We start from the raw sequence: 11627 nt of genomic DNA on the forward strand, positions 1-11627 counted from the left end.
AAAAAAAACACAGCCAGGCATAGGGCCAGGTTCCTGTAGTCCCAGCTACTCAGAAGCTGAGTGGGGAGGATCACTTGAGCCCAGGAGTTTGAAAGCAGCCTGGACAACATAGTGAGACCCTCATCTCTACAAAAGGAAAACTTATTTTTAATTAGCTGGTGTGGTAGTGTGTACCTGTGGTCCCAGCTACTCGTGGTCCCAGCTACTCAGGAGGCTGAGGCAAAAGGATCGCTTGGGCTCAGGAGGTTGAGGCTGCAGTGAGGTGTGTTCACGCCGCTGCACTCTGGCCTGGGTGATAGAGAGACTGGCTCTCTACATAAACAAACGAACAAACAAATAAATAAAAAGTCTCCTGTCCAAATTTATAGATTCTCATGATTTTTCAGTTAACATATCTCATAATGAGAGTGAGATTCTAAAGTCACCCCAGATTTGTTTCCTCCTGTTGCCCTGGACAATGCCTGGCACCAACAAGGACTCTTTAACAAAGTCCCCTTGCTCCTGATCACTCTGGGAAAGGGTCTGGGTAAGTCCTATCAGAATCCAAGATCTCCTGCTTGAGGTTAAAGAACTCGGAGACTGGCTGGGCGCGACAGCTCATGCCTATAATCCCAGCACTTTGGGAGGCCAAGGCGGGTGGATCACGAGGTCAGGAGTTCGAGGCTAGCCTGGCCAATATTGTGAAACCTCGTCTCTACTAAAAATACAAAAATTAGCCGGGCAAGGTGGTGCTTGCCTGTAGTCCCAGCTACTCAGGAGGCTGAGGCAGAAGAATGGCTTGAACCCAGGAGATGGAGGTTGCAGTGAGCCAAGATTGCACCACTGCACTCCAGCCTGGGCGACAAGAGTGAGACAGTGTCTCAAAAAAAAAAAAAAAAAAAAAAAGATCTTGGAGACTTTATTTCTTCCCAGCTGGGTTCCCATCATTGGTGGACCCTGGAGGGAACCTTCCCCTGTCAGCCCTGCATTGGCAGGGGCCTTCCCAGTCCTTCCCAGTGCCTGGTCCCAGTTCCCTGCATCCAGACCCTGCAAGGAATGTCTTTGTCAACCCTGGGTTTAAAGGTGGCCTCCCTGATTCCCTCCATTCAGACCACGGAGGGAACATTTTGTGGACCCTGGGCTTACCGGCAGGGGTGGAGGTGTAATCCGGTCAAACTCAGCTGATTCGTAGATTTTGTGAGGGTGCTTATGCTAAGAGTACTCTCAAAGGGTCACCTGGGTAAGGGAAGTGCAATTATAGGGGGTGCTTAGTACTAACGGGACAGTCTCTAGCCAACCACCTTCAGGAACCCTTTGGCTTACATGTTTAAAAACCACATGGAAAGTTCAAAGACATGCTAGCTTTTTTGGGACGCTAGCTGGCTACATATTATAGCCCGTTTTTGTGCACATTTTTAAACTGGTGGGCAAATTACATCAAGGAAAATTCAGAGCTCAAATGGTCAACCTGCAGTTACAGAGTTAACATGTAGAGTCTTCTACATTCTCTATTTTATTTTTCTACCTGCTTTAAGTCTGTTGACTTTTCTACTGGTGTTGAGATAAAACTCTTTACAGTGTTACTAATTCAAGGCTACCTGGAGATTTTTTCTATATAGTTCAGCCAGGTTCCAGCTAAAATATAAGCATTAAAAATTTAACCCTAAACTCATTGTTTTTTCAAGTGTGTGTGTGTGTGTGCGTGTGTATATGGATATGGGGTCTTGCTATGTTGCCCAGGCTGGTTTCCAACGTCTGGGCTCAAGCAGTCCTCCTGCCTCAGCCTCTGAAAGTGCTGGGATTACAGGCATGAGCCACCATGCCTGGCCCCATTTAAAACTTAAAAAAAAAAAAAAAGATTTTAAAAATCAAACTGCCATGGAAACTACCCAAAATTTTGGTTCACAGCCTCCATTAGATTACCTATTAGGATAAATAAAGTTTAGCCATGTAAACAAGTTCCAGTTTTGTCAAAAATAATTTGGACCCAACCATCTTTTATAAACCGATGACTCTGTAGTACTGAGAGATGATGCGTGCTGGCAGCCCTCACAGCCCTCGCTCGCTCTCAGTGCCTCCTCGGCCTCGGCGCCCATTCTGGCCACGCTTGAGGAGCCCTTCAGCCCCGCTGCTGCACCGTGGGAGCCCTTCTCTGGGCTGGCTGAGGCCGGAGCCGGCTCCCTCAGCCTGCGGGGAGGTGTGGAGGGAGAGGCACGGGCAGGAACCAGGGCTGTGCGCGGCGCTTGCGGGCCAGCTAGAGTTAAGGGTGGGCGTGAGCTTGGCGGGCCCGCACTCGGAGAAGCCAGCCGGCCGGCCCCGCTGGCCACGGGCAGTGAGGGGCTTAGCACCGGGCCAGCCGCTGCGGAGAGTGCGCCAGGTTCCCCAGCAGTGCCGGCCCACCGGCGCTGCGCTCAATTTCTCCCTGGACCTTAGCTGCCTCCCCGTGGGGCAGGGCTCAGGACCTGCAGCCTGCCATGCCTGAGTCTCCTCCCTGCCGCTGTGGGCTCCGGCACAGCCTAAGCCTCCCCAACGAGCGCCGCCCCCTGCTCCCCAGCGCCCGGTCACATCAACTGCCCAAGGGCTGAGGAGTGCGGGAGCATGAGAGCAGGACTGGCAGGCAGCTCCACCTGTCCTGCCAGTATGAGCTCCAGTAGGTGAAGCCAGCTGGGCTCCTGAGTCTAGTGGGGATTTGGAGAACCTTTATGTCTAGCTAAGGGATTGTAAATACACCAATCAGCACTCTATATGTAGCTCAAGGTTCGTAAACACACCAATCAGCACCCTGTGTCTAGCTCAAGTTTTGTAAATGCACCAATCTGCGCTCTGTGTCTAGCTGATCTTGTGGGGACTTGGAGAACATTTATGTCTAGCTAAGGGATAGTGAATACACCAATCGACACTCTATATCTAGCTCAAGGTATGTAAATGCACCAATCAGCACCCTGTGTCTAGCTCAGGGTTTGTAAATACACCAATTAGCACTCTGTATCTAGCTAATCTAGTGGGGTCCTGGAGAACTTTTGTGTCTAGCACAGGGATTGTAAACACACCAATCAGCACCCTGTCAAAACGGACCAATCAGCACTCTGTAAAACAGACCAATCCGTTCTCTGTAAAATGGACCAATCAGCAGTATGTGGGTGGGGCCAGATAAGAGAATAAAAGCAGGCTGCCCGACTCAGCTGTGGTAACTCGCTCGGTTTTTTTTCCACGCAGTTGAAGTTTTGTTTTTTTTTTTTTTGTTTTGAGTCGGAGTCTCACTCTGTCGCCCAGGCTGGAGTGCAGTGGCGGCATCTCGGCTCACTGCAAGCTCCGCTTCCCGGGTTCACGCCATTCTCCTGCCTCAGCCTCCCAAGTAGCTGGGACTACAGGCGCCCGCCACTACGCCCGGCTAGTTTTTTGTATTTTTAGTAGAGACGGGGTTTCACCGTTTTAGCCGGGATGGTCTCGATCGCAGTTGAAGTTTTATTCTTTCACTGTTTGCAATAACTCTTACTGCTGCTCACTTTTTGGGTGTACACTGCGTTTATAAGCTGTAACACTCACTGGGAAGGTCTATGGCTTCACTGCTGCAACCAGCGAGACCACGAACCCACCAAAAGGAAAAAAACTCCGAAAACATCCGAGCATCAGAAGGAACAAACTCCGGACATGCCGTCTTTAAGAACTGTAACACTCACCTTGAAGGTTGGCAGCTTCATTCTTGAAGTCAGTGAGACCAAGAACCCACCAATTCCGGACACAGTACTATGCCAGGATTAGAGCTCTAAGGTAAAACCCGTAAAAAAAAAAATTATTTTTTCACTCTGTTTAGTAGGTTGGAGTGCAGTGGTAACAATCTCCGGTCGCTGCAACCTCTGCTTCCCGGGTTTAGGTGATTCTCGTGCCTCAGGTTCCTGAGTAGCTGGGATTAAAGGTGTTTGCTACCACGCCTGGCTCATTTTTGTATTTTTAGTAGAAGTTGGGTTTTGCCATGCTGGCCAGGCTGGTATTGAACTCCTTACCTTAAGTGACCCCCGCACCTCGGCCTCCCAAAGTGTTAGGGTTACAGGCATGAACCACCACAACCGGCCTAAAGCTGTAAGATTTTTATTTGTGTATATATGTGGTTAGATGTGTTTACATATGTTGTATATTGTGTCTACATGGTACCAAGTTGACTTAAAAATAAATACTCGTAAATTAAGAAAGCCCAAATATATTTTTCAAGTTTATGTGACTTAAGTAAAATTTTTTTTTTTTTTTTTTTTTTTTTTTTTGAGATGGAGTCCTGCTCTGTCATCCAGGCTAGAGTGCAGTGGTGCGATCTTGGCTCACTGCAACCTCCGTTTCCTGGGTTCGAAGCGATTCTCCTATCTCAGCCTCCTGAGTAGCTGGGGTTACAGGCATGTGCCACCATGACCAGCTACTTTTTGTATTTTTAGTTAGAGATGGGATTTTTACTATGTTGGCCAGGCTGGGCTCAAACTCCTGACAAGTGATCCACTTGCCTCAGCATCCCAAAGTGCTGGGATTACAGGCATGAGTCACAGCGTCTGGCCTGACTCAAGTAAATCTTTAATAAATAAACTGGTTTTAAAAGTTATTGGTAAAATAAAAATGTCTTCAAAATTGTTAACATACATTTTTGCCTTGGTTTATTGGTCAAAGTTTTTTTACATGTGTCTCTGCTAGATACTTTAAGGGTGTTGGGGGTTTGGCATAAAGATTGTAAAACTATAAACCCAGCCGAAACCAAAATGACCTTTGTGTGTGATTTTTTGATAAATATGACTAATTTAATATAACTAGTTTAATAGGAAACAGCGAAATCTTCCGAGTTATCAACAAAATAAGTACGTATTTTAAGATTCTTAGGTGAACATCTGATAGTCACAGGCTGTAAAAATAACAAATTTAATGATTACCTTTGTCTAATATCTCAGTTCTCATAACTAGTCTAAGGCAATGGTGAAAAATATAGGCTGGGCGCGGTGGCTCACGCCTGTAATCCCAGCACTTTGGGAGGCTGAGGTGGGCGGATCACCTGAGGTTGGGAGATCAAGACCAGCCTGACCAACATGGAGAAACCCCGTCTCTACTAAAAATACAAAAATTAGCCAGGCATGGTGGTACATGCCTGTAATCACAGCTACTCGGGAGGCTGAGGCGGGGGAATCGCTTGAACCTGGCAGGCAGAGGTTGCGGTGAGCCGAGATTGAGCCATTGCACTCCAGCCTGGGCAATAAGAGAAATTCCATCTCAAAACAAAAAGAAAATGAAAGCAAAAATAAATGAATATATATGATAAATGCTTATAAATACAATTGTCATGTAATTTAAAATATTTATGTTAAATTAAATAACTGCTCATTAAATGCCTGGGTCATTTTCAATTTAAAAAATACGTTACAGGGCCAGGCTAGGTGGCTCACGCCTTTAATCCCAGCACTTTGGGAGGCAGAGACAGGCAGATAGCCTGATCTCAGGAGTTTGAGACCACCCTGGGCAAAATGGTGAAAACCCCATCTCTACTAAAACATAAAAAAATTAGCCAGGTGTGGTGGCACAAGCCTATAGTCCCAGCTACTTGGGAGGATGAGGTGCAAGAATTGCTTGAGCCAGGGAGATGGAGGTTGCAGTGTCAAGTTGAGGTTGTCAGGTTTTTTATCTTCAGCCTCTCGGCTCCTTCAGACTTCAGGGGGTAGGTTTGCATGTAGCTGCTCACTGCAGAACAGTCTTATATAACATAGATAAAGAACTCTTGGCCAGGCGTGGTGGTTCACACCTGTAATCCCAACACTTTGGGAAGCTGAGGTGTGAGCATCGCTTGAACTCGGGAGTTCGAGACCAGCCTGGGCAAAAAAGCGAGGTCCTGTCTCTATTAAATATAAAAATAAGGCCAGGTGTGGTGGCTCATGCCTGTAATCCCAGCACTTTGGGAGGCCGAGGCCGGTGGATCACGAGGTCAGGAGATGGAGACCATCCTGGCTAACACGGTGAAACCCCGTCTCTACTAAAACTACAAAAAATTAGCCAGGAGTGGTGGCGGGCGCCTGTAGTCCCAGCTATTCAGGAGGCTGAGGCAGGAGAATGGCGTGAACCCGGAGGCAGAGCTTGCAGTGAGCCGAGATCGCGTCACTGCACTCCAGCCTGGGTGACAGAGCGCGAGACTCCATCTCAAAAACAAAACAAAAAAAAATTGGGGATGGGCTCCATTAAATGGTTCTGTCTTGACATCTTTTATGCGATAAAAGCTGGAATAGTAGGGGTATGGAAAGCTGGGAGCTGGCTGGATCGATCTCTCTCTCTTAAGGTAATCTCAGGGTTTATCCATGTGGATTACCTTTGTGGATCAGTTTGTAGCTGCCTCAAGGCAGTTGTACTGCTTACATGACAGCTCAGTACTCCAGCTCAAGTGTTCAAGTGAGCAAGGTGGAAGTTGCATTTTCTTTTCTGACCTCGAGTTATATATCATCACTTCTGCATTCTGCTACTGACAAGGATGTCACAAACCTGCCTAGATTCAAAGGGAGGGGAATTAGACTCATCTCTTCATGGATGAATGACAAAATTACAGAAAACCATGTGGAACAGCTGGTATTGTTAGACAGCTTTGAAAACACAATCTGACACATCCTCTTTATCTCTCTTAATGCTTTTTGCCAACGATTATTTGATCTAATTTTTTTTTTTTTAAGATGGAGTCTCAGTCCGTCGCCCAGGCTGGAGTGCAGTGGTGCGATCTCAGCTCACAGCAGCGTTCGCCTCCTGGGTTCCAGCGATTCTCCTGCCTCAGCCCCGAGTAGCTGGGATTGCAGGTGTGAACCACCATGTTTGGCTCATTTTTGTATTTTTAATACAGACAGGGTTTCACTATGTTGGCCAGGCTAGTCTCAAACTCTTGCCCCTCAAGTGATCTGCCTGCCTCAGCCTCCCAAAGTGCTGGGATTACAGGCGTAAGCCACTGCGCCCAGCCTCATTCATGTCTTTTTATGGCTTAATGGCTCACTTAGTTTTATCACTGTTTTTATATATGCAATATTTCATTGTATAGATGTACCGCAATTTGTTTATGCATTCATTGAAGGATACCTTGGCTGCTTCCGGTTTTTAGCAGTTACAAATAAAGTTATGAACTTTTTTTTTTTTTTTCCAGACACAGTCTCGCTCTGTTTCCCAGGCTGGAGTGCAGTGGCCCAATCTCAGCTCACTACAATCTCTGCTTCCCAGGTTCAAGTGATTCTCGTGCCTCAGCCTCCCGAATAGCTGGGATTACAGGTACGTGCCACCACACCCAGCTAATTTTTGTATTTTTAGTAGAGACGGAGTTTCACCATGTTGATCAGGTTGGTCTTGTTCTCCTGACCTTGTGATCCACCCGCCTCGGCCTCCCAAAGTGCTGGGATTACAGGTGTGAACCACCGCACCTGGCCCCTTCTTTTCTTTTCTTTTTTTTCTGATGTGGTTTGGCTCTGTGTCCCCACCCAAATCTCATCTTGAATTGTAATTTCCACTTGAGGGAGACACCTGGTGGGAGGTGACTGGATCATGGAGGTGGTTTCCCCCATGCTGTTCTCATGATAGAGAGGGAGTTCTCACAAGAGCTATGGTTTTAAGTGTGGCACTTTCTCAATCTCTCTACTGCCACCTTGTGAAGAAGGTGCTTGCTTCCCCTTTGCTTTCTGCCACGATTGCAAGTTTTCTGAGGCCTCCCCAGCCATGCACAACTGTGAGTCAATTAAACCTCTTTATAAATTACCGAATTGCAGGTATTTCTTTATAGCAGTGTGAAAACTAATACTTTTTTTTTTTTGACACAAGAGTTCCACCCGCCTTGGCCTCCCAACGTGCTGCGATTACAGGTGTGAACCACCATGTCCGGCCTCTTTTTTCTTTTATTTTCTTTTCCTTTTTTTCTTTTCTTTTGATAAAGATAGGGGCTCACTATGTTGCCCAGGCTTGTCTCAAACTCCTGGCCTCAAGTGATCCTGCCACTTTGGCCTCCCAAAGTGCTGAGGTTACTGCACCCAGACAATTATTTCTTTGATGGACTATGCTTTAGGTGTTGTATCTAAAAAGGCATCACCTCTTCTTGAAGTTTTATAGTTTTGTGTTTCATAGTTAGGTCTATTTCAAGTTAATTTTTTGTGAAAGGTGTATGTTTAGGTTGATTTGTTTTGCATATAGACATCCAATTGTTCCTGCACCATTTGATGAAATGTCTTACTATTACACTAATAGTGTCTTGCTATTTATCTTAACTTGAAAGCAATTTGTGTGTGTGTGTGTGTGAGAAGGAGTCTCGCTCTGTTGTCCAGGCTGGAGTGCAGTGGCGTAATCTTGGCTCACTGCAACCTCTACCTCCTGGGTTCAAGCAATTCTCCAGCCTCAGACTCCCAAGTAGCTGGGACTACAGGAGCCCACCACCAGGCGCAGCTAATTTTTGTATTTTTAGTAGAGACTGGGTTTCGCCACGTTGGTCAGGCTGGTCTCGAACTCCTGACCTCAGGTGATCCACCCACCTCGGCCTCCCAAAGGGCTGGGATTTCAGGCATGAGCCACTGCGCCCAGCCACTTGAAAGTAATTTTAAACTCACAGGCCCCCTAAAAGGTTCTTGGAGACTACCAGTCATCCAGTGACCACAGTTGGGAACCAATGCTCTAGTTGATGGGATTTTTTTATGATTTTATCTTTGCTTTCTCCTCCTCTTCCTCCTTTTCTTTCTTTCTGTTTTTGTTTGTTTTTTGTTTTTTGTTTCTCCGAGATGGGGTCTTGCTCTGTCACCCAGGCTGGAGTGCAGTGGCATGATCTTGGCTCACTGCAACCTCTGGCCCCCAGGTTCAAGCAATTCTCCCGCCTCAACCTCCCAAGTAGCTGGGACCACAGGCACATGCCACCATGCCCGGCTAATTTTTGTATTTTTAGTAGAGACTGGATTTCACCCTGTTGGTCAGGCTGGTCTCGAACTCCTGACCTCAGGTGATCCACCCGCCTCGGCCTCCCAAAGTGCTGGGATTACAGGTGTGAGCCACTGTGCCTGGCCTTAAAATATGATTTTAATATATATACACTTTTAATCACTAAAATAGATATTTCATATAGAACTAGAGTTGTGTATTTGTTATATTCATTCTTCTCATGCCATCTTCATGCATACAATTTTATTTTTCTCTTTTGGGTTAATTTTTAGGCTAGTCCTCGCCAAGTCAGCCTAAAACCACCAGAAACAAACCCAGTTGTTGACTTATTCCAATGAGGGAAACCACCCAGCAGAGGAACTATAGTGATCTGGCTGAACAAAGGGAAAGGTTATTAAAGAATTGAAGGGAAGGGTGGAGTTAGGTGAAGTGTAAAGCAAGCAGTGTTTTGAGGCAAGCAGGCTCCAAGTATCACAGGGCTGTGTATGAAGGGTCCGCTTCAGGTCTGGACGGCAAAGTGGACCTAGAGTCTTGTTTCCTTGGAAACTACAAAGTTAAGAAAAATGTGGAATGCTGAGTCCAGAAACACCTTATCTGAGACTGCTTGTCTGTGTCAAAATGACATAGCTCTTTTAGGCAACAGTGGGATGTTCTGTTCTTACTAATAGGATATCAAACAGCAAATTTCTGATTGCTTGTGCTTTTAGGGGGAAAAATATAAATAATCAGTAAAAAAAGTAGTAGTCACCCAAATAGCTGTAGCATGCATGGCCTTGATAGAAATGTTTCCTGTTGGCCAGGCGCGCTGGCTCATGCCTGTAATCCCAATACTTCGGGAGGCTGAGGCAGGCAGATCACTTGAGGTCAGGAGTCCGAGACCAACCTGGCCAACAGGGTGAAACCCTGTCTCTACTAAAAATACAAAAATTAGCTGGGGGTGGTGGCGCATGCCTGTGATGTCAGCTACTCAAGAGGTTGAGGCAGGAGAATCGCTTGAACCCGGGAGGAGGGTGTAGTGAGCCGAGATCATGCCATTGCACTCCAGCCTGGGCAACGAGTGAGACCCTGTCTCAAAAAAAATAAATAAATAAGAAAAAATAAGAAATGTTTCCTGTTGATGTTGCAGCTGGCTTGCAGCTGGCTTTAGAGGTCCCTGTTATCCCAGTCTAGTGGGAGCACAGGCAGACTTTTACTTTCTCATTCCAAGCTAGTTTTCACCACAAATAGAAATCTTGATCTGGCCAGGTGCAGTGGTTCATGCCTGTAATCCCAGCTCTTTGGGAGGCTGAGACAGGAGGATCGCTTGAGCCCAGGAGTTCAAAAATAAAAAAAATAGAAATCCTGATCTAAATGATGTAATCATTTTTGTTTTTCACATTCCCTGACCACATGACCTGAAATAGCACTACCCCTGACCAGTCACTCTATTTCTTTTTTTAATTTTACTTTATTTTTAGGACAGGGTCTCCTTCTGTCGCCCAGACTGGAGTGCAGTGGTCTGATCTCAGCTCACTGCAACCTCAGCCTCCTGGGCTCAAGTGATCCTCCCACTTGTAGCCTCTAGATTAGCTGAGACTTACAGGCACACACCACCATCCCTGGCATTTTTTGGTTTTGTTTGTTTTTTAGAATCAGGGTCTCACCATCTTGCCTAGACTGGTCTCAAACTTGTGGGCTCAAGCAATCCTCCTGCCTTGGCTTCCCAAAGTGCTGGGATTACAGGCATGAGCCACCAGTATTTCTAATATGTATGGGAAATATGCTGTCTTCCTATTCCTACTCCCCCACCCTCTAGCACTGAGTCCAGGTAGGTAGGCAGGGGGGTGTCTCCCTCCTTTACTTCGACACCCTAACTACCTTGGGGATCAGAAGTGACTCTCTGGAAGGATGCTGCTGCTTCTCACCAGAGGCTGACGATAACGAAGGCTATCCTCCATGGCCACCTCCTCCAGGCTGCCTTCCTGGAAATAGGAATCATAATAGTTGTTACTGGAAACAGGCAGAGGGTTGGGGGAGCCAAGGCAGTCCCACCCAGGACCAAGGTGGCTCCATTGCACACACTTCACCATGACTCCCCTGAAGGTCCAAACGTGCGGTTCTGCGGAAGTTGGGCTCCCCACTGGCCTCCCTCCTTCCTCAGAACCTCCAGGGGTGCTCCTCCTAGTGGCCACATCCAGCCTTTCTGACTGGACAACCTATCATTTAAAATTTTCAAGTAGTTCCGTAAACAGACACACGTTGCTGTATTTATTTATGTCAAGGGCTTGGTTTGTGATAAATCAGGCTCAAAAAGATTGTCTTAAAAGAGTGAACCTTGGCAATTTACCATAAAATAATTGCAATGCAGATTGTGCATGGAAATGATTGGAGATATTTTAAGGTCATAGTGTCTTCACAAATTGAGCTGAAAGGGAACTGTTAGGATGATCTTGCCTAACCCTCTCTTCTCACACAGGAAGAACTATTTTAAACTCGAGAGGTTAAGTGACCTGGCCAAAGTCACACAGCCACCACTAGTTAACTCGTATACATTGATTCTCCTGTGGGGCTGGGCAGATGAGGAATCTTTTGTTCTCTTCCCTGTTTGCAGAGATTTTTTTTGAGGTTACTTTCCGAGTTCTGGCAAGTACCCCTGCTTCTGGTAGCTTTGTGTCTCGATTCAATCTCATTCTTTTTATTTTATTTTATTTTTGAGACAGGGTCTCACTTTGTCACCCAAGCTGGAGTGCAGTGGTGTAATCTTGGCT

At 46.4% G+C, this 11627-nt stretch overlaps 1 protein-coding gene across 2 annotated transcripts in view; it reads right to left on the minus strand.

The window, feature by feature from the left end:
* PES1 (pescadillo ribosomal biogenesis factor 1) overlaps positions 1-11627 on the minus strand; it is a 30389-nt gene that overhangs the window by 18052 nt on the left and 710 nt on the right. The window contains exon 2 of one of the 2 annotated variants that reach the window (NM_001282327.1): positions 10785-10841. The gene's annotated coding sequence lies outside the window, so the exon portion shown is untranslated. Of the gene's footprint in view, positions 1-10737; positions 10842-11627 lie in introns of both variants that reach the window. The other variant, NM_001282328.1, reaches the window with a different exon arrangement.

This window comes from Homo sapiens, chromosome 22 (assembly GCF_000001405.40).
Source record: "Homo sapiens chromosome 22, GRCh38.p14 Primary Assembly".
NCBI classification, from domain to species: Eukaryota; Metazoa; Chordata; class Mammalia; order Primates; family Hominidae; genus Homo; species Homo sapiens.